Source organism: Homo sapiens, chromosome 15, assembly GCF_000001405.40.
Source record: "Homo sapiens chromosome 15, GRCh38.p14 Primary Assembly".
In the NCBI taxonomy this organism is placed as follows: domain Eukaryota; kingdom Metazoa; phylum Chordata; class Mammalia; order Primates; family Hominidae; genus Homo; species Homo sapiens.
Genome location: NC_000015.10, coordinates 71,332,717 through 71,356,633, shown reverse-complemented (window position 1 = coordinate 71,356,633; position 23,917 = coordinate 71,332,717). Strand labels below are relative to the sequence as shown.

Sequence of the window (23,917 nt, the reverse complement as noted above, 5' to 3'; positions counted from 1 at the left end):
CTCCCTCCCTGCCTTCCTTCACTCTCTCTTTCTCTTTCCTCCCCTCCTTTTCTCCCTTTCCTTCCTTCTCTCCATTCTTCTCTTCACTCATTCAACAAATTTTGATTTAGCACCTACTATGTACCAAGTATCTTTTCTAGACTCTGGGGATACAGCAGAGAAAGAAGTCAGTAGGTCCCAGTCCTCAAAGAGCTTCCATTCCACTGAGGCTGAAGACAGGCAATAAACAAGAGAAAATGCCCTCCTGCCATGTTGGACTGTAATAAGTGTGTCATAAGTGTGAGAGCACAGGGGGACTAGACAGGGAATGACTGCATGGCCACCTCAGGCTAGGTGCTCCTGGAAGGGCTTCGGGCCCCAGAAGCAACCGTGTGCAGAGAGTAGCCATCAGCTCAGTGGGAGAATAAACTAATTAGAATCTTCTGGAGAAGAAACTCACTAGACTAATTAGAAGAAAGTAAATTAGGGCCAGGCATGGTGGCTCACTCCTGTAAGCTCAGCACTTTGGGATACTGAGGTAGGCAGATCCCTTGGGGTCAGGAGTTCGAGACCAGTTTGGGCAACACGGTGAAACCCTGTCTCTACTAAAAATACAAAAATTAGCCAGGTGTGGTGACGCACGCCTGTAGTCCCAGCTACTCAGGAGGTTGAGGCAGCAGAATCGCTGAAACCTGGGCGGCAGAGGTTGCAGTGAGCCAAGATTGTGCCACTGCCCTCCAGCCTGGGCAACAAAGTGAGACTCCATCTCAAAAATAAAATAAAATAAAATAAGAAAAACCTAAATTAGAACACTTGGAAAAGAGTTACTCTAAGACTCAATTTTTTACCTGTGAAGAAAAAACTTCATCCCTGACCCTGGGTCCTGCTGATTCAAACGCAGTCAAGCCAGCAGCACGCTCTTTGGGCCCCTTGCATCCATTAATTGAGCTCTCCACAGACCCAGCCTGACTGCTCAAGAACATGTTCTCCGCTGAGCAGGGGCCAAGCCTGCAGCCTCTTTCCTCTCCTAACTGACCAGCACCCGGGACAGTCCTCTTTTCCTCATTATCCTTCCTCTAGGCACCACTGAACAACACACAATCCAATAATACTCAGGGCTACAGGTCCACACTTGTCATGAAAACAAGAAACAACTTCCTGGGTAGATAGGGAAATGCAACAAACTGAGAGACATTCTTTTGGAGCCTCTCTTTGGAACAAGTGTCTGCACGCACACACATGCACATGCATGCACACACACATGACACACACAGCCTTTAAACTAGCTGGAGGAAAGCATGTCTTGCTCTGAAAGGCATCAGGTTTGGAAGCCAATTTCAAATAAAGAAGAGCTCCTTGATGAGCTGGGTGTAAGCAGGCCAGGATTAACACTCACCTTATGCAATAAGCGTGTTATATCAGTCTTTTATTGCATGTGGTTTTGCTCCAGGAAAACCTTTATTTGAAACATGATTTGATCTGCAGTACACAGAAATCTCCAGAAAGAAGACTTTCAGCCCAAACAACATGATGGATACGAAAGACTCTAACATAGGGCTTGACTCACGGTCAGCATTAGGCAAATGTTATTTTTGTTTTACGAAACATTTGTAATGCTTCCATGTTAAAACAACAGGATTCCCTGGGGTTAGGAGGGATAATCCTCAGATGCAATAGATTTGTCCATTCACTAAACGTAAGTACAGGCACAGGAAATTCAAGGAAGAACAAGAGGAGTGTGAAGTTTACTGGAGGGACATCATACAAGATGAAATGTTCTAAGCATAACCAGAGTTTTGTATATGGAAGGTATTTATTGGCCACCACTCTCAGCCCACATCTTGTCTGGACAGTGATGTAGGATTTATTCTGGATTAGGAAATTTAGGATAATCTAGTCTTCACGCTTTAACCTGAAGAGGTCATGTGGCATGCCCAAAACCACATAGAAGGCCTAACTATTTTCTGATTGGGTGTAATTCTATGCTTATTAGCAACTGCAGGGCTAGAAATAATGTTAGAGCCCAAAGTGTTTAAAGGTGAGACCTCATGAACCAAGCTCCTTCAATGGCTTTGTTTGGCACATAAAGGGCATTCAACAAATTTATGTTAAATTAATAAAGGAAGAGTCTTTTTAGGTCATGAGATACTTTCTTGGCCACAATTTGGAAAAGTCTCCACCTGGGTTGACAATTAAAAAACAAAGATGGCTTCTCAGTCCTTACCTAAGTAAATCAGTCTAAAGCCACTGTGATCCCTGCTGCTTAACACTCTCTCTTCTGGACACTTTTCCCTTCTGGTTTTCCTCGGAGCTCCCTGGCCTCTCCCCTCAGTCTCCTTTATCAGCTCCCTTTTCTTTTCTTTATAGAAACACAAGGTCTCGATCAGGCTGGAGTACAGTGGCAGGCGCATGGCTCACTGCAGCCTCAACCTCCTAGACTCAAGTGATCCTCCTGCCTCAGCTTCCCAATAGCAGGGACTACAGGTAAATGCCACCACATCTGGCTAAATTTTTAAACCTCTTTTAGAGATGAGGTCTGACTGTTGCCTAGGCTGGTCTGGAACTCTTGGGCTCAAGCAATCCTCCCACCCCGGCCTCCTGGGTAGCTGGGATTATGGGCATGAGCTACCACACCCAGGTGGCTCCTTTTCCAGACAGCCCCTGGAATTCTGATGTTCCTCAGGGTTCTATCTTCAGTGTCTTCCTTCCTCAATCACCTGGCAATCTCATCTCCTCTCTTTACTCATACGTGTAATAACCTTATCTGTTCCCATATTACTTCTCACACTTAGAGAGGAGGGAACCAAAGCTCAGAGGTCACACGAACAGCAAATGGCAGAGGCAGCATTTGAACACCAAGTCTGATTCTTAAGTCCATGCTTCCCATGCAAAGAAGCTGGGATTTTATCATCCCGGCATTGAAATAGTCGGGACAGTGCATTCTACAAATCCTGGCTCCTCTTTCTTTGGGCTAACAGACTCTGTTTAGAATTGTATAAAAGCATGGGCCTTCTCTAGAAAAGCTGCACATGGGAATGTGTTCACAGAGAAAACATTTTGTATACAATATAAAAGGTGTCCTGGATCCCTGGAAGCTCATCAATGACTCCTTCTGGGTCAGGGACCTCAGATGTAAGAACTTATCCTATAAAGACTCAGAAAACACCTTTGAAGTACTTTAAAGGAAACCACAGTTTAGGTGTTCTTTCTCATCTGCTCTGACTTGCTCTAGTAAAGCAAACTGTGAAAAAGCTGAATCACATGATGGTTTCTTTTGCAATCAGATTAAGTGTTTGCTAATAAAAAGTGGACACAATTTTTATCCACATGCCTTGTTTATCAAACAATTACACTTGGCCCAAACCAGCTAAAGATGTTGTATCACATACAGATTTTATGTTCCTCATCCCACACTGCTGTTCTCGGAGTGACATCCCTGAATGAAAATAAAGTAGGCTTAAAGTGTAGACGCACTCCTTCTGCTTCATGTGTCAATGTCTGTTGATGTCAGAAGAGTCTGACTGGGATGCATGATCACTACATGAAGCCTCATGTATAGAGTGCTCAGAAAAGTGTCTGGTACATGAGATAGTGTTGAATGAATGTGAGTTATCGCCTGCAAGGTCCTTGGAAAGCCTTTATAGCCTCCTCTCCCAATCGTCCCACCTACCCAACCTCTGGACCAGTCTCAAGGATGACGCAGCATTTCCCAGAACGTTTGGGCTTGTGAGCCATTGCTCACGATGCTCCCTTCTCCTAGAATGTCCTTCCACCCATGTCCCGTCCCTATGGACAATTCCATTAGGACTCAGCTTAAATGTTAAGCTTTCCTCTATCCCCTCCCAATACTCTGGCTGGAATTCATTTTTCTTTCATCAGGGCTCATAAAAGCAATATGGATAAGCCTCAATCATAGCACACAGGACACTGTGTTACAATTATTCATTTCTTTTCCCCTGGTATCTCTGAGCTCTTTGAGAACGGGACCTGTATGTCCAAAATTTGTATCCCTAACTGACCACATAGGCTCTCAATAAAATTAAAATTTGAAATGAACTCAACTATATCAGCCAATCCTTTCTAAGTCCTAGGGTGTCTATAAGCTTTAGTAAAATTTACCTGGTTTTTAAAGACCCATACTTTTTAACTCCACTCATAACAGCTCCAGCATACACAGTAATGCCTGCTACTTGGTTATGGGGCCATGACCGTGGGAAACATCCTGTAATTTATCTCCATACAAAGTTGTTGGCAAGGGAAACAAACATGTCTGCTTCTCAGGAAGAATGGCTGGCAACCGTCAGGGCTTTGGATAAACTCCGGCCATGTGTCTTCAGCCAGAAGTTTGCTTTGTGGATCCATCATCAAACCTTAACCTGGCTGAGGGCTGCACGTAATAGTGACACCAGAAGTGACGGTCCTGGAAGCTTCAGTCTTTCCAAATGAACATTCAGCATGTTCCTGGTTGGGAAAGGATGTTAAAAGACAAAGAGGACAAAGAGGACAGGAAAGCATCAACTCTGATGGAATCACGAATCTGCCAAAAATAAATGGACATGGCAGTCTTTTCTTTTGTTTAATTAAAAGGCTCACTTTGGAAGCCAAAAAGGACAGATGTGAGAGTACAGGGTTGACATGGTTCTTCAGAGGGGCTTTTACACAAGTGTATCAAGGAGTGTTGAAAAGAACCAGGGCAGGCAAAGTGTGCATGGTAAAGCCAAATGACAGAAGGTAGTGGGTTTCCTAAATGCAGAGAAGGGTAAACACATTACCATTATTTGGTAATTGACTTCTGAATCTATATGGCCCCTGGAAGGGAGTAGGGAGATAAAAAGCAAAGGCATGGACCAAGTTGGGAGAAGTGTTGCAGAAAGGAAACTTGTTTCCATGTTGTTTTCAAGTCCAATCTGGCCATAGAGAACCATCACCAGCCCAGCAGAGAGGCCACGCGAACACCATCTCCACTCACTGGTGACAGTCTCAATAAGACATTGGAGATCGCTGTGTCCTAGAGCTTGTAAGCCTTGCCACAGATGATGTGAGCAAAGAGCACATGTGAGAAGCATTTTGATATTTTGAAGTTATAAAAGATTTGCTTAGTTTGTGTACCAGGAGAAACTCAAGAGCAGATGGCTAGGAGATGCAGCAAGGTGGAAGGCCTGATGAAATCCATAATTTGAGAGGAAAAACCAGAGTAAAATCAATCAACAGAAGCAATGTTGGTTAAGGGTCTATAGTACATGTCTGTTTTATGTATGTATAGTTTCCCTAAAGAAGGGATTTTTCTTTTCCCTTTGCAATCATGATATATGATGTATTATGGTGGGAAATGCAGAAAGCTCAGCTCAGCACCAGGTATCAGATTGGTCCTGCTCCTCACTAGCTAGGTTTGGGCTTCTGCTGTATAAAAGACAGGCTTGCACCAGATGATCTCTAAAACCTCTTGCAGTGCTCATGGCCTGTGATTGATTTACCATGCAACGTTCAATTGTGCTGCAGAGGCTGTTTTCCCACAGAATGCAGATGGACTTCTGCTACTCCTCAGGGCAGTTCCCCAGCCATTGACCTGATACCCCAGGACCACAGCTGGCCTTAGAAAGCACTTCCCAAGCAGAGGTCATCGGTACCCCAACCGGTACAAAGCTGTTCCCACCACAGCGTGGTGACAAACTTGTCTGACTATGCACCTTGAACACAGGGACCTGAGTGGTCTCATGTATCAGGTCAGCTTAAAGGTAATAAAACAGCCACCGCCAGTGGGGTTTCTTAGGAGAGTTACCAACAAGCTTAATACAAAAGTGTGGCCACGTGGTTTGCCTGGAATGATACACTTGCACACAGGAGACGCCCTGAATCTGGTAATGGCACATCCTTGTTCCCAGCTCTGTTATTTTTCCATGTGCCCTCCCCCAAGGCCTCAGCTCACCTCCCCTCCTCATCCCTGCACCATCCTCCTAAACTTCCATGGACAGCTCAAGCTTGTTGGCCATTCTTTCTAGCTGAATTTCTTTCAAATTAAGGAAACTAAACTTCAGAGTTTTGTAAAGGGCTATGTTGGGAGATTTTTATTTTAAGCAATGAAGAAGAAAAATAAAAATTCAAGTCAAAAAATAGTCACTTTTAGGAGTTGCAACACCTTGGTTCCTTATGTGCCAGAGAGCCAGAGGGGAGGTCACTTAAGCGGTCACTGGCAGCCCCAGGTGCAGAACTCAGGGGTCCTGATTCCCAGTAAAGGGTTCATTCCTGTTCCACTTCTCTGCTTGGCAGGGAATGACTAAATTCTAGGGCTCCCCACCAAGAATGTCTGCTTCAAAGTGAAGGTGCCAAAAACGAACATTAAACAGACACCATATCCTTTCTTGTTATATGCTGAAAAGCATAACTTTGAGATATTTTTAGTGAGTAAATGTGGTCAAACTCAAGGACAAAGCTGAGTTCAACTTAATGAAGTTTACATTAATATATCCCACCTTGTTTTTGGCATCAATGTTCATTTTTTTTTTTTTTTTTTTTAGTAATTTGCAGTTTATATAATTATTATAAGGCTGGAAATCTATCTCCCCAGCTGGGCAAGGATACACTATAAATGTGCTAGAATAAAATATAGATGGAGATTTAATTATCATGCTACTCATGCTTTTTAAATAACGGCATGTCAGCACTTCCATAAACCGATTTGCATTACGTTAAAATTAATGGACTGGAAACCTTTGCTTCTGCTGAAATGGACCATCCCCGTCTTTCCCTTTCGCCCTCCACCTCCTTCCTGAGACCAGCTGTGTTTCAGCTCCCCCTTCCCTGGGCCCACACTGAATCTCTGTTACCCTTACAAACCCCTGCTGCCTCTAAGAGTAAGGACCCCTATCCCATCCCAAACTCAAACCTAAGCACATGCAGCCTCATCCCATTTCTCCAAAACATGTGAAAGCAAAAGAAAATCAAAAACTAACTCAGCAATCTTGTTCTTCCTACAGTGGTCTTTGGCTACTGCTGGGTGTGGCCCACTTTTAACCTGTGAGAGTGCCATCCAGTGAAGAGACAATGGGAATGCTACCTCCCAGAGGTGAGCCCAGCAGGGAAAATACAGGCTTCTCAAGGCTAAGGGCAGGTGCTCTGGGGTCAGGGGTCACTGACAGGTGCTACGTAGACAGAAAGGTGATGCAAACGGCCAGTGGCCACACCTTCAAGACATGTTGATAGGGGCAGGGGGAGATGGACAGGCATGTGGAGAAGTGAACAGGCTCGTGTCATCTTTGTTTTCTACATTGTGCAAATGTACGCATGTGAATGAAGAAGGAATGAATTAAGCAAAGAAGTAATTAATACTAAAGAGAAAAAAATAAGAAAGGGAAACAACAATTTTAGGTGCTTTTCTGGGCTGGCCACTTCTGTATCCAATTTACATTTTGTATACAACATATCTACTTTAATCCCTGTAACTCAGAGTAGCCTTGTTTTTAATTAGAATACTGAAGGTCAGAGAAGTTAAGAAATTGCCTATGATCTCACTGCTAACAATTGAAATGGGATTTGAAGCTGGGTCAGCTTGCTCCTGTCCTGGTTTTCCTACCACTCCACGTGGCAAAATGTTGGCAGATGGCATGGACTTGTGAACACAGATAGGAAGGATGGCCCAGAAAAAGAGAATTTATGTCTGAAATACAGAATGGATTACTATAGAGATTACAATACAAGAGGTAACTTCAAAGGAGAGTAGATTTCATAACAAAAATGCAAGAACCTGCATATCCAAATGAGACCACTGCTTCCCTTTACCAGGGTTCCTCTGGAGGCTTGGCACTTACTCCAAAGATGCTGCTGTCTCAAAACATTTATGTAACTCCTTGTTGGAATGCAGTTACACAGCAAGTGACACATTCCTTTTAAATAGCTCATCCTTTAGCAGGTAAATTTGGTTTTTGCTAACAGTCGTATCCTTTGGGACCAAATCTGGAGCAACAATTTGTATTGGGAAGCATAAGTTTTAATCAAAGGCTACAACAGCCATTAGATTAGGTGTGACTATAAAACAGAGAGTTGTCCCTTCTTTAGCTCAATCGGGCTCTGAACACAACTAAGAGCTAAGCTCTGAGCTGTTTTCTGGAGTGGTGGCATTGCCAGAGCACAGACTCGCAAGGTATCTCTGTTGAAAACCAACACTCACCTGGATGTACAGGTCATGGTGAGCAGGTGTTCTGAGGGAAGACAAAGGAAAAGCAGAGGGAGTGTTGACAATTCTGAGCTTCCATATGGCAGACATTCGGGGCCTGTTGGCATGGTCCTCAGAGCAGCAACAACAGCATCAATTGAGGTTCATTAAAATGCAGAATCGCAGGTTCATGTGGACCTACTGAATCAGAACCTGCATTCTAACAACAGTTTTCAGTGGTTCTTCCGCACATTAAAGTTTGAAAAGCACTGGTCTGGAGGAGGAGGCTCTACAAAAGGGTTGGGTATTGAGGAGCCGAAAAGACAACCTGGAACTGAGATTCCCAGGGATGACCTGAAAACAAGCATTTCAAAAGCTCAGAAAAGCAAGATTTTAACTACTCTCATTTTATATTATCGCAACTACATGTCCAAGATTTTACAAAATAGTCTCAGTTTCAAACACTCTGTTCCCTTTGCAGATCATGTATTATGGATGGTCTGGGGCAACAGGGATAGACCCATGGGTATTGGGAATGAGTATGCAGAGGGTAAGATTACTGAAATTGTTATTATGTGGGTATGGAGACGGGCTAGTTAGCATGAAGGACTGCTGAGTGTTTGGGTGGTCCGGCTGATCATCTGAACACTGAAAAATTAAGTTGAAGTCAGAGAAGGATCAATGTTAAGTTAGGAGAACAAGAGAACTTTCTGTGATGATGGAAATGTTCTATATCTACACTGTCCAACATGGTAGCCACTAGTCATATGCGGCTATTCAGCACTAAAAACACAGCTAGCACAAGTGAGAAACTGAATTTTAAATTTTGATATGGGACTACTGGCTAGCACATTGGACTGCACAGGTATATAAAAACCCCATGGCAGCCCCTGTACCTGCAAGTCTAAAGAGGACCAGGAGGATCCCCGCCAAAAGAAGGGTAATCGATGGGACACCAAAGTTATCAGTCAAGTAAGGCAGAAATGCTTGAATGAATAAATGTATATAGATAGAAAGTAGAGACCTTGATAAAGTCAAACTCCTTGCCTTTACAAGTGTGTGTTCAGCAGCCATGCAAGGGAGATGTCCATCTGGCAGTGGCCCAGGGCAAGGTGTCAGAGCCCTAGTGGCAGGGAGATGGCATCCACATATGAGGGAGGGTGACATGGTGCTAACTGGGCATCTACATAGGGCAGGGGGACAGTGGTGATGTGAAATTGATTACATTCAGGGTGACGGAGTACACAGTAAAAATATAAAAGATAATGGAACCTAGATTTCTCATGGCCAGAGAAGAGAGTTACAACTGCAGAAAGAGAGAAAATGAGAATGAGCCGGGCACGGTGGCTCACACCTGTAATCCCAGCACTTTGGGACACCGAGGCGGGCAGATCGCCTGAGGTCGGGAGTTCGAGACCAGCCTGGCCAGCATGGTGAAACCCTGTCTCTACTAAAAATACAAAAATTAGCCAGGTGTGGTGGCACGCGCCTGTAATCTCAGCTACTCAGGAAGCGGAGGCAGGAGAATTGCTTGAACCCAGGAGGCGGAGGCTGCGGTGAGCCGAGATCACACCATTGCACTCCAACCTGGGCAACAGAGTGAGACTCCGTCTCAAAAAAAAAAAAAAAAAAAAAAAGAAAATGAAAATGAAACTTATGATGTTATTCGGAATTTGAGATGTGTGTGAACTGACAATTTTTAATATACAGATGAATACAGAAATACACACATAATAAATATGTGCTTACATACATAAGACGCATTGCCCAGCTCTGTTTGACTGCAAGGGTCTAGGAGCAGCAACACCACAAGAGCAACAGGTACATTTATTGTCCAGATTTTGGCTTGTAAATACTATTCTCCAAAAAAAATGGACGAGGGCTCCTTGGAAAAATGGCTGATTCCAGGGCTAGGACTGGTAAAATACAAGCTTGAAACATCGTGTCATACCTGAAAGTGAAGAAGTGCTCAAAGAGTGATGGAGATGTGTCAAAAAAGACACTGAAGCCAGGCCAAAGTGGCTCTCACTAGCCAAATACGGGGCAATTAGAGCTTCAAAGCAAATAATAATGGTAACAGGTCAAAACCCATTGAGTAGAAGGGAAATCCATGTGTCCATGCTGACACCAATAAATGGCTGAATAAAGGAGCAAATGGACAAGCTGTATCACCTAACAGGATACAATAAGAATACCCCATCACTTCTGTTATTTTCCTGCCAAAAATTCATCGACTGAATCTAATCATGAGGAAACACTGCACAAACCCAAACTGAGGGCCATGCTACCTAATAATGGTCTATATTCTTCAAACATGTCAAGATCATGTCACGAAAGTCAACAAGAGAATAAGAAATACTTCCAGGCTGAAGGAGACCAGAGATGCGACAACTAAATACAGCGTGTGATTCTGAATCAGATACTTCCACTCTAAGGACATTATTGGGACACTCAGGACAACTGGTGAAACTTGAATGTTTGGGGACTGGGTGGTAGCAATATATCAATATGAATGTCCTGATTCTGATGGTTGCTTTGTGGTTATGTATGAGAATTTTTTTGTTTACAGGAAACCTGGGGGAGTGGCAATGTATCACATTGGCAACTTACTCTCAAGTAAGTCCGAAAACAAAAGAACTCTTCGTACAGGGCTTTAACTACCATATAAGTTTGAGACTGTTTCAAAGTAAAATAATTAAAAAAAAAACAAAACACCCAAAGAATTATGTTCACTTATTCTGGCGAAGGCACTCTAACGGAATGTCTTTAGGGGCATCTTAGAAAGATGTTCTTCTCTAGCAACAACTGCCTAAAGGAAAAGTGCTTCCTTTCCACCTGACATAGACATTCACCCATCAAAGCTGAGGCCTGGACCTGTCACAATTATTTTGCAAATAGGGAAAAGCCACTAAAAACTCAGAGAAGCCACCCCAGAGATCTGCCATTGTTGAGCTGCTAAATTAGCAAGCCCTCAGACTGGCTACCTCCAGATTTCTCGTTATGTGTGATTTATTACCAAATCCAATTGGTTTAAGTTAAAAAAAATCTTAATTTGCTTTCAGACGGCACCAGCTCCGTTTGAAGAAAGGGCCAATCACAGAGGTCAGCACTCTCCTCTCACAGGCAGCCCGGGGTGCCTTTGGCCCTACCTTGCCCCTGTATCAGACTCCCTCCTACATACCCTCTGGCCCAGGATGGGAGCTGCTGGCACTTGAAAAGCCCTTTCTATCTGGCAGGCCACAAGTATACAACTCCTCCTTATTCACAATCAATCCTTCCCTTTGCCCCCTACCCACCCCCCCAACCCCCCGCCACTTGCATACTGAAACAGAACAAAAACATACCATACAGAAATGAGAAATCACATATATAATTACAGCCAATATCACAGACCCAGGCTACACTAAGAAAGGATCAAGGATAAAGATGAAGAACTCTGAGAACAGTTTCCTTTTGGACTTTGTCTCCCGATTTTCTCTGTGACTCTTTCGCCCCCTCTAACCCACACACTGCTTGCTACCCATCTCCCACATGACCACTCACATACTCAGAATTCTTGGCTCACTTTTCTGTCATCATATCTAAAGGGCATCTCCCACCTTGGCAGATCTCACGATCTGGACCTGAGACACAGACATGGAGAGTACACCATTTTCAAAATCCTTCCCACGGCCCCAAAGATGCTGGCAGGCAAAGGCCACATTTGTTGAGTAGACCTTGTACATCCGTGGAAGTAGGCACAAGAAATCTTTGTGAATGCTCATGATACAATTTGGTGCTTCTACATTTCTTTTTCTGATTATGAAAGAATGCCCCTACCCGGAGCCCAGAGAAATTTTCACCCAATTTATTATTTTTCCTAAATTAGCATGTTTGGCATGAAACAAAGATATGCTTACGGCACAGTGCTGAGTACTGTGGAGGACATAAAGGATAAAGGATGTGAGGTCTGTGGAACAGGCACCCAGCCAGCCCCCTGCATGTATGCTCCCTGAGGCGTGAAACATGTTTGAAGAGGTCGTCAATGCTCCATAAGGTGGAAGTGGTGAGCTGAATGGTGCCCTCCCTTCTCCCAAATATGCCCAAGTCCTGACCCTGGAATCTGCACATATCACCTTATTTGGAAATAGAATCTTCACAGATGTTATTAAGAATCCTGGCTGGGCTGGGCACAGTGGCTCACGCCTGTAATCCCAGTACTTTGGGGGGCCGAGGCGGGTGGATCACGAGGTCAGGAGATCGAGACCATACTGACTAACACGGTGAAACCCCGTCTCTATTAAAAATACAAAAACAAAATTTAGTCGGGCGTGGTGGCGGGCACCTGTAGTCCCAGCTACTCGGGAGGCTGAGGCAGGAGAATGGCGTGAACCTGGGAGGCGGAGCTTGCAGTGAGCAGAGATCGCGCCACTGCACTCCAGCCTGGGCGACAGAGCGAGACTCTGTCTCAAAAAAAAAAAAAAAAAAGAATCCTGGCTGGGTGCAGTGGCTCACGCCTGTAACCCCCACCCCCACCCCACCCCCATCACTTTGGGAGGGTGAGGTGGGCTGATTGCTTGAGCCCAGGAGTTTAAGACCAGCCCAGGCGACACGGTGAGACCCAGTCTCTACACAAAATACAAAAAGTTAGCTGGGTGTGGTGGTGCATGCCTGTAGTTCCAGCTGCTCAGGACGCTGAGGTAGGACGATCATCTGAGCCTGGGAGGCTGAGGCTGCAGTGAGCCATTTTGCGGCTGCACTCCAACCTGGGTAACAGAGCAACACCCTATCTCAAAAAAAAAAAAAAAAAATCCTGAGATGAGATTATCCTAGATTTAGGATGGCCCTAAATCCAGTGACAGGTGTCCTTATAAGAGAAAGCACAGGGATTTTCAGTCACAGAAACACACAGAGCAGAAGGTCACTTGAAGACAAAGACAGAGGCTTGAGCAATGTGCCTAAAAGTCAAGGAAGGCCAGTGATTGCTGGGTGCCACCAAAAGCTGGAAGAGGAAAGTGAGGATTCACCCTCAGAGACTCCAGACGAAGCCAACCCTGATGACACCTTGACTTTGGACTTTTCCCCTCTGAGATGGTTAGAAAATAATTTTTGTTGTTTTAAACCACTAACTTTACAGTCATCTGTCATGGCATACCCTGGAAACTAATACAGCGGGCAAGGCAGGCTATTTATTATTTATCAATCAATCAGTAGAGACAGGGTCTATCTAATCTATCTAATTCATCTAACATATCCATCTATCTCTCTTTATATCTAATATATCCATCTATCTACCTACCTACCTACTAGAGATAGGGTCTCGCTATATTATGCAGGCTGGTCTTGAACTTCTGGCCTTAAGAGAGCCTCCACCTCTGCCTCCCAAAATGTTGGGATTACAGGCATGAGCCACTGGCTTAGTCAAGGCAGATCATTTAGGGGTGGACTTTGTTTGTCCAGAGAAGAAATAATTTTCCCTCCCAGCTCTGATAATACATGCCCAGTAAGCACAAAGGCTCTGGCATATGGGTAAAATGGAACCTTTTAGCATATGGCAAAGGCTGTCTCTTAAGACCCTTCTATATGCAAGATGGGCCAGTCGGGAGGAAGAGAACAGAAAAACTCGAGCACAAACGGAACTCAAAGACCTTCTGAAGCTCAACACTTGTGGACTGTCTCTGAGGATCTGGGTGTGCCTGGCACACACAGCCTCAAAAGAGAATTTGCCACAAGAAAGAAGACATCTAGTTGGTATCCAAGGACCCCCATCAGCTGCTGTGGGGTGGGGAGGGCCGCTTCAGGCACCGTCCATGGCTGAGGTGGGATCCCCTCCAACACGGCTGCCTGGAGAACAAGGACGAACATGTCAGAGTAGCCAAAGTGGCTGTAGCCACGGAATGTCCCCAAGGGCCACTGTGCAGCCACTGCAGGGTCTGCGCCTGCCAGGGCACACCAGGGCAGGGGCAGAAGTTGGGGGTGGGCAGGGGGAAGGCAAGGAAACCCGGAGTGAAAGCTATTAACCTGCATGGCGATCAGCTCAAGGTGGGGGTCAGAGAAGGGAGGGACTCCCATGCTGAGACTGCACCCCTGTTGTTTCTTCTCTCCTGTTTTCAGGCTGTCCTCTGACTTCAGGATCTCCAAGTGCCTGCAGGCAGAGGACCAAGAGTGCAAGCCCAGCACAAGCCCCCATTTCTTTCTTCTACGCATCATGTGCACCGTGAGTACTGTGCACTCCCCGTGGCAGTCTCTGTAACACAAACTCTCTCTGTTCCAGGTTCCCAAAGCGTATTTTAAAACCTCATCAGCTATGTTATTTTTAAACTCCAGGAAATAAATGGGATTTAGTAGATGTTATTAAATAACACCTACTGTCCCCCACCTTTTTTTTTTATGAAGAAGCGTTTCAGTCAATCAAAGGATGTATCAGTTTCTGCATCTGCATGTCCACCCATCAATCCACTTATTCTACCCCTCCCCATCTCCTGTTACAGACAGCTGTGACTATCCTCATCTACTGTTAACAAGAGTTAATCCTCTGTGGTAGGATATGGAGTAATTTTTTACTGTCTTCTTGGCTTTCAATTGGATTGTTTGAATACTTTATGTTGAACACAAGCTACTTTTAGAAAAAAAAATCGTTAGAGCATTAAGGTCATTATTCTAGATGAAATATAATAAAAACCTAGTAGGTGGAAATAAACCAAATGAAAGGAAAGGAAGGAAGGAAGAAAAGAGGGTTGTGAGGGAGGTAGGAGAAAAAAGGAAGAAAAGGGAGAGAGCTCTTTTCCTAAGCAGCCTGAGGTAATCTGTGAAAATGGTTCGCTATTCACTTGACCCGGAGAACCCCACGAAATCAGGCAAATCAAGAGGTTCCAATCTTCGTGTTCACTTTAAGAACACTCGTGAAACTGCTCAGGCCATCAAGGGTATGCATATACGAAAAGCCACGAAGTATCTGAAAGATGTCACTTTACAGAAACAGTGTGTACCATTCCGACATTACAACGGTGGAGTTGGCAGGTGTGCGCAGGCCAAGCAGTGGGGCTGGACACAAGGTCGGTGGCCCAAAAAGAGTGCTGAATTCTTGCTGCACATGCTTAAAAACGCAGAGAGTAATGCTGAACTTAAGGGTTTAGATGTAGATTCTCTGGTCATTGAGCATATCCAAGTGAACAAAGCACCTAAGATGCACCGCCGGACCTACAGAGCTCATGGTCGGATTAACCCATACATGAGCTCTCCCTGCCACATTGAGATGATCCTTACGGAAAAGGAACAGATTGTTCCTAAACCAGAAGAGGAGGTTGCCCAGAAGAAAAAGATATCCCAGAAGAAACTGAAGAAACAAAAACTTATGGCACGGGAGTAAATTCAGCATTAAAATAAATGTAATTAAAAGGAAAAAAAAAAGGGAGAGAGAGGGAAGACAGAAGAGACAATAGAAAAGAAAAGGCAAGGCAACAAAAGAAAAAAGAAATGGGAGAGAGAGGAAATGCAAGACACTGGGAAACAATGGGGAGACCATTACCTGCACATCTACCCCAGGAACTGTAGGGACCAGTGTAGACCCTCCCAACCCGTTTTCATAAGTGAACTCCCAGGGAAAGCTTATGAAAATAATCTCTGGGGCTGGGCACGGTGGCTCACGCCTGTAATCCTAGGACTTTGGGAGGCAGAGGTGGGTGGACCACCTGAGCTCAAGAGTTCAAGACTACCCTGGTCAACATGACGAAACTCTGTCTCTACTAAAAATATTAGCCAGGTGTGGTGGTGGGCACCTGTAATCTCAGCTACTCAGGAGGTTGAGGCAGGAGAATTGCTTGAACCCAGCAGGCAGAGGTTGCAGCAAGCAGAGATTGCACCATTGCACTCCAGGCTGGGTGACAGAGTAAAACTGTGTCGCAAAAAAAAAAAAAAAAAAAAGTCTCTGGATGCTCATTAAGGCCCAAACATGGACCTACAAAAGACAGCCTAGGAAGTGGAAGGCAGTCACAGCAAGGAAGCTCCAGAGGGTGCGCAAGCTCCCAGCACAGCGGAAAATGGGTCACACGGCCTGGCTCTTCCAGCTCATCCCTCATGGATTTGGTTTCAGGGTCCAGAGCCTTAAAGCTACAGGGTGGATGGCATTTTGGAAGCACCGGGTCTAAGCTCCCATTCAGAGTTCCAGGACTTCTACCATATTCTGGTCTTTAAAGTGACCTTCAGCAAGTCCTTCAACCTCTCTGAGCCTTGGGTTCCTCATCTATGAAATGGGGACGAGAGACCCATCCTGGCAAGATGTGAAGCCAAGGCATATGCCAAGGAGCAGGTGTACCCGCACACTGCCTCAGCAAGCACACGGTCCAGTCAGGGAGACACACAGTACAAAGCCAACCTGCAAACATCTACTGATTAAGTGTTAAGGTCCAAATGCAATAATGAAGCCTAGAAATTCGGATCAACATCAAGAATAACTAAGACTTGGCCAGGTGCAGTGGCTCATGTCTGTACTCCCAACTCTTTGGGAGGGCAAGGTGGGCGGATCACCTGAGGTCAGGAGTTCAAGACCAGCCTGGACAACATGACGAAAGCCTGTCTCTACTAAAAATACAAAAATTAGCCGGGCATGGTGGCACGCGACTGTAATTTCAGCTACTTGGGAGGCTGAGGCAGGAGAATTCCTTGAACCCAGGAGGCAGAGGTTGCAGTGAGCGGAGATCGCGCCACTGCACTCTAGCCTGGGTGACAGAGTAAGACTCCATCTCAAAAAAAAAAAAGTTAAAACTTACTGAGCACTTATCTGCTTTACACATATTTACCATTTAATCCTCATAACATCCCTATGAGGTAGTTACTTTTATTATTCCAATTTTAGAGATTAGGAAACTGAGGCACAGGGCAATTAAGAACTTATCTCAAGTTATGACAGAGAAGTTCCTACCATACTAGGTAGTGCTGGGATTTTAATGCAGGCAACCCATCTCTTAAACACTACACCCCATACCTGATCGATAATAGATAATGTACGGCTCTCATTTTTAATGAGGTTATATTGTTAGAGAGTGACAAGGCAAGTAAAAAAATATAAAGTAATGCACTGTGATCAGCTTCATGGGACATTTGTGCAAAGTACAGAGGTGACGGTTGGGGGAGGGGATAATTAAATATCTGAGAGGGTCGGCAAAGATTTCCTGAGTCATTAAACTTGGGGGTTTGGAAGGATGAGTAGGAGTATTTCTGGATTAAAAAAATCAATAAAAGGGAGGCTCAGGCAGAAGTAACAGTTTGGGTAGACAGAGACAAAAAATACAAAAAACTCAGCATAGAACACTGAAAAAGTTTAATGGAGATAAAACATACTAAGAATGCTAAAATGCTATGAAGAACCCAGAGGGAGTTCTTAAGTGATATCTTAAGGGCAGAACACAAAGCTAACAAAAAGATCTCAGGGTAGGTGAGGTCAGGACAAAATGTCCTGAGAAGAGGCGAGGCCGCAGAGATGGCCAGTGGCTGGAGCAAGACACAGTGTGATGTCCTGCAAGGAGCCTGCTTTTAACTCGTAAACACTGGTCACTCAGGCACCTGTTTCTATAGAAACAGAGGTGACCTTTAGGACAGACAGGTCTTCACTGACAGCCCCAGAACTCCAACTCTGGTTTCCAGACAATGGCCAGACCCTGACCTCAGTTCTGGCTACATTAAACTGGAGATTTCAGTCTTTCATAGGTCCACTCGGTTGGGTAGAGTTGGAAGGTCTTTTCTCCCTTGTCCCATTTCCCCCTTCTCTTACCTCCCACCAAGTGTCTGTTGCTGCAAGAGGCCAGTTAAGGGTGTCTTTTCCTTCTAATAATCTCAGTGTTTGGGCACAGATTAACCAAGCCCAAACAACAGAACTAACTCAAAAACAAAAGCTAAGCTCCAGCCCTGATGCAGTGAATACACGTGTTTGTAACTCCTCTGTCAACTACCTCCTAACCTCCTGCCTGTCTCTAAAGACACCATAAAAGGAGAAATCAGAGCCGAAAGAACCTCACTGCAGAGTAGATCAGTGTATTAATTTATAACAGTTCACATACTCTCGGCATTACCTCATGGCCCAATTCTAGGATCCACGCGCGAGTATGAACTGGAGCAATGTGAACCTCCCTGATATCTATAAGTGTTCAGACTCCGGTCCAAAGAGTGTTTATCATGCTACATGAAGCAGACCCCTTGCTTTCAGATCTTCCTGTCCTACTGCTGAGTGTTCGGAAAGAAGCTCAGAGTGGGGCGGGGGGTGGGGGTACCTAAGCCATCACCTGGAGAATCCTCCCATTTCATGGGATACCAAGACTGTAGGATTGGCTCAAGGTCACACAGCTAATTAGGGAAACTCCAGGATTCAAAGCTCAAACTTCTGATTCTTCAGTGTTTGAAACCATATTTTGAACCCAGTTCTTAGAGAAAAATAAGCAGATAAGATTTTGGGGCATTGATGGGGGAACAGTTTAATGATAGAACAGGGAAGAAAAATATGAGCACAATTCTTTTCTAGGTACAACAAGGCATTTTACATACATTTTTCCAGTTAATCCTCATAATCCTTCCAGGAACTTATCAGCTCCACCAGTTTACACAGGGAAGCGGCTGAGGCTGGAAGGACCAGAAAGTTGCCCACAGTCATTAGTAAATGAGAGCCCCATTTGACCTTCGAATTGCCCATTTCTGCCTACATCACATTGCATGCAGAAATCACTTTCCTAACCTTTACTCAAGCCTGCTGGGAACGTCTCCGGTGGGCTCAGCCTCTACTAGGTTCACCTGGGGTATGCAAAGGCCCTCCTCAAGTGTTCAGGCAGAGCCTCATCTTCCAGCCTGGCTGAGGGGCCCTCTCTCCCAGGGCCCAAGTTCTTGAGAACCTCCCAGAGCCCAGTAAGAATTTGCATAATTAATGACCTGCGGGCCAGAATGTCCAAGCCTCTCTCACCCCATCCCTGACTGGGAAACCTTTTAGCTATTTATCAGGCCAGACCTGTTTATCCAGTTTCCATTTGGGACAACTTTTCACATGTTAACTAGCTGATCCTTGTTAAGCTAGGGTTTGGCTCACAAGGCAAGTATTTGCGGTTTTTCTCCTGGGCTGAAACACTGAGTAAGGAGCATCAAGCCCTCCAGGGGCAGGTTTCCTCCCACTGCCTCAGGCTCTGCCCACTTTTCACTCCTGGCTCCCACAAGGGCATTGGGCCTGGCTCTACCCTCGGTCCCCCTGGACTGGAATGCAACCACATGCTGTATGTCCAGGTGGGGCCACTCTAGACCCTACCACTGGCCTGGCTGCTGCAGCCACTACCACCCCTTACAGTTCTTGGGTTGGAAAATGACCACTTCATGTTTTCAGTGTTGTACCCAACTAAGACACATCCACATGCACAGACTTCCTCTGCCTAGCCCAGGACCAAGGCGGTCACTACATCATTACAGTCCTTCTCTTTCCTCCTTGCCTCCCACTTCTCTCCAAAACAAAGCACATGCATGCACGCACACACTCCCTCTCCCCTCTCTCTCTGATTTAGCCCAAGGATTGGAAGGCCCTCAAGTAAACTGTGCCTTGCAAAAACTGCCCTTTGCCACCCTAAGGCATGTACTAAAATGTGATCAAAGTTACCTTCAGTTGACATGAAGGAACAGCATTTTCCACCGGTGAAAGTGTGAAAGTCTAGCTCGTTTTAACAGGTTTGACAGGTTTGTATGTCATTCTTAGACTCTCTCCTACTTCTTACAGAAAAATTAGATTGGGGTTAAATCCATTTACTGCTTCAGACACTGTATCCAAATTGCCAAATAAGGGAAAATAAGTTGTAAATTAAAATGATACTTTAAGGAACAGAAATGATAAATTTTTAGATTTGGGTTTGGAAAGCACCTCTTACAGAAATATAACACTTTATGTCTCTTAAAAAGTCTAATTCAGTGATTTGAACATGTGGTACTTCAAAACAAACTCAGATATGGTTCCACGTGGAATATAGTTCATGACCAGTGATAACTCCAAACATTCTGGATACTGATCTTCAACTTTAAGAAAAACAATCACACTCAAATTACTTTTTTCCCTTAACAGTTAAAATGATAAAGTATAAAATTCCTTGCTTTAAATATTGCTAATTAGAAATTTTAACTTTTCTATAACTTGAATTTGAATCTCTTCTGTTTAAATGACAACTGAATTTCAGATTTAACAAAATATTATGAACTCATAATAAAGGGTATTAATGTATTTGTTATCTACCACTTCCTTCCCTGTATCTTTGGGCCCTCACCACTCAGACCAAGGTTGTAACATTTTTATTCTAGAAGTTGAAAAACACTGCCCTAAATCCCTTGATTAAAAACATTCTAGAAGCTTGAGCATTTTGTGGGGAGAGGGAGACAGTGTGTGAACATGCCTCACATGTGCTGGCTGAGCAGGGGATGGCCTCCATCACTTTATTTCCTCTTCCTAATGGATTGCAATGCGAAAGGCCATCCACCGAGGTGATCTCTCCCCAATGATTGAGATTCTTTTTTTCATTGACTGTGTTCTGCTGCAGTCCAGCCCCTCAGGTTTGGCCTTCCACATCATTCCCCGACAACCCACCCCCATGCCCTTCTCCAAGAAGGATGACCTCAAGTGTGAAATAATCTCCAGCATCTGTTTGGGGCTTTGATTTTGTGGGTTTATTTTACACATCCTAATTCTGCAGGAAACTCCCTGCAGATGTGGAGAAGCCCTCAGTTACTGACCCCTTGTTAAAAGAAACAGCCAGAAACCAGAAACATGACCAGGAAGATAAACAGCTGTTGAGGTCTCAGCTGCTCTCCAGAGTGGCATCATCTTCGGAAATAAGCCTTGCATTCATCTTCACCGAGGAAATTGGGCCTTGAAGTTCATTTAGTTAGAGATGGTAAAAGCATGGCACACATACCTCCCACCCTTCTCTCGCACCCGTGACAGACATCACTCATCAATCATTATATCCTTTTTCTCTGGGTCTGAAATCAGCCCCAGAATTCTCCTCAAAAAGGGGTCCAGACAAACTCTGTGAAACCATATTAAATATATTTGTCATTCTAGAAGTCTAGGTTCTAAGGGATAAAGATTCTGAAAAGAAAAATTAAATAAAATCTGTGCATTTTTGTTGGGAGGGGTTGGGGAGAGGTTAGGGGGTACTTGGTTCAAGTCCTAAACAGAGTAGGAAATTCTGTTTCCTTGAAATACCATCTCAAAGCCCACAATACTGATTTAAGAAAAGAGCCCTCAACTAAAAGCAGAAGAAGTTGCTGGGGCTGACAAGTATTTGCATTTCCTGAACGTGAGCTGTGTTCCAGGCACTGCTCTAAGCACCTCACATGTATTGTCTCATGTAATTAACAGAAGATGATTCTGATGCTAACATGACCCAGGATTCAAGACTCATTTCTCAGATCCAACATGTTTCACAGATGAGTGCAGCACAAGTCACACAAGACAGCTGCCTGCCAAGAGTGCGCTCACCCTCCCCAGACCTGAGCTCCATTAATTCTGCTCAGGAAGGAGGGCCTTTTTCAAATCCAGCACAGCCCTGGCCCATCTGCTCCAGTGTGTCACTTAGCCATAGTCTGTTTCTGAATGTGCAGCTTCAAAAAGAAGCAGATTTTGTAACGGATTCCCCCTTTGTCCCAGATAGACAGCACAACCTCCATGAAAGATGTGCATCTTCCTTCTTCCAGTGAAGAAGTTCTGCTGACAGTTCTGAGCACTATGAGGGCCACAGGTCTATCCTGCAACAAACATATCAGGCTAAGGGCTTACTTTCAAAGAACTAGAGAGAGGGAGGCTGGTTTGTTTCTTCTCCTAGGCTTGGGTCAGACACTGGCAAACTGACTCATTTGCCTTGATGGGCTGGCATTTGGCCGCAGCCTTGGTCAATGCCAATTTCAGCGTTATTTGGCCCTTGGGGATTGTCCATGGGTCCTGGGTGACAGCCATGCACCAACTGCCCCCAGAGCTGGGGAATGAGAAAATGACATGAACAATGATAAAAATAAAAATGAGAGCTACTGACTGTATTGGATGTTTAGTAAGCACTCAGAAAATGTACCAAAGGCTTCATATACACTCTCATGCTGAATCCCCAAATTCTTCTGTGACCTGTTCATCTAGAAAGCTGCCGATGTCCACCTCTTAGAGAAATGGTTCTGTGGTAGTCGAGTGTCGGTTTCAAAGCTAGGATTTTGAAGAAGTCCTTTAACTCTGTTTCCCCATTTGTGAGAAGAGATTACCCTTATGTTTCATGTTATGCATCATGAAGAAAAATGATCCACAAAAATATGCCTTGGCTATTCTGCAGAAAAGAACAAAGTAAGTTCTCAGTTTATGACTGTTATGGTTGCTGATATACTGCTCTGGCTTCCGGTTTGCTGGGTGTATCTTATCACACTGTCCTCCATATGTGAATCCTAAACCTTAAAAACAATGTTTCTTTAGATACTTTCATCAACTCAACTCGAAACTAAAACAACAGGCTGGGAGGCAGTGAGTTTCTTGAGGGCAGAGGTTGTGTCTTACTCATCTCTGAATTCCACATATTTGGCTTAAAAGAAACAGGCAAAAATGTTATTTGAGGATAAAGACCAGAGGGAGGTTGAGAAAGGGAAGAAAGAAGCCACAACCTTCTGTAGCATTATCTTGTCAACGAAAGTTCATATATTTTCAATAAGCATCTACTAAGCCCCGTAAGAGAAAAAGGTTTGTTGTCTGCTTGGTACTACCTTAAACATTGGGTGTTTGATGCAGACGCTGCCTTTACTGAGTGGGAAATAGCCTTGAGTAAAGTGTGAAGCAAGACTTCAATAAGTCCTTAACGACAGTCACAACCATTTGTACCCTCAGTCTGGCCGATTTTTGGAAAAATAAAAAATGCCCATGCTGATGCCATGGGAATGTCCCCTAAGATCACTGCCTTTCTGCACTCTATCAGTTGCCAGCCACTCAAATCTCCAAAATTATAGATGCCAGAATGACAAGGCTCTTGGCCAAGAAAAAAAACAAAGGTTCAGCCAAATTAGAGTATGTTGAGGGTGAGAAAGCTAAAGTCTAAGAGGCCCACATATCAGAAATGGGAAACTAGAATAGACATCTGTTTGGAATCTCCATGGGCAATTCTCTATGACCACAGTGAGCTTAACAACTGCAAGGACAGTAACAAGGGGGCTTTAGGTTGACTCTGCCACTCCCCACTTCCCCCATAAATGCCTGCTCTGAAAGCCAAAACTCAGAATGCCCCTCCCAAGACCCTTTCAGCCTAGAGACTCCAGAGAAAGGAAGCTCACACTCTTGGGCTGAGCTGCTAATGCCTGCAATGCACCTGCTTTTCTAGCCACAAGTGGCTCTTTATGCCCCCACCTCGTGGGCAGCAAAAAGGGAAGATGTCCTTCTCACCTAAGCATCCCAGCCTCCCCATAGGAACAGCACTATTAGGGAGGCCTAAAAGGGGGGAATACCCAAATGGAGTCTAGGTGAGCTAGACCAGATACCAAGCTTAAAGGCAGAGGTGTCCGATCTTCCCTGGGCCACACTGGAATAAGAATTGTCTGGGGCCACACATAAAATACACTAACACTAACAATAGCTGATGAACTAAAAAAAAAAAAAAAATGTAAAAAAATCTCAATGTTTTAAGAAAGTTTACAAATTTACATTCCGTCTTGAGCCACATGTGGCCCACAAGACACGGGTTGGACAAGCTTGTTTAAAGGGCTCAGCTTGCAGTTAATGAATTCATCACTCAAATATTTGGCGAGTACTCTCTGCATATCAGGCATAATTCTAGG

The 23,917-nt window shown here is 44.5% G+C and overlaps 1 protein-coding gene and 1 pseudogene across 7 annotated transcripts in view; one reads left to right on the top strand and one right to left on the bottom strand.

Moving 5' to 3' along the window:
• THSD4 (thrombospondin type 1 domain containing 4) overlaps positions 1–23,917 on the bottom strand; it is a 686,490-nt gene that overhangs the window by 426,750 nt on the left and 235,823 nt on the right. Inside the window, exon 1 of one of the 7 annotated variants that reach the window (XM_017022586.2) lies at positions 8,144–8,431. The exons of the other annotated variants lie outside the window; for them this stretch is intronic. The gene's annotated coding sequence lies outside the window, so the exon portion shown is untranslated. Of the gene's footprint in view, positions 1–8,143; positions 8,432–23,917 lie in introns of those variants that run through there. 7 annotated transcript variants of the gene reach the window in all.
• Positions 14,901–15,514, top strand: RPL17P39 (ribosomal protein L17 pseudogene 39; annotated as a pseudogene).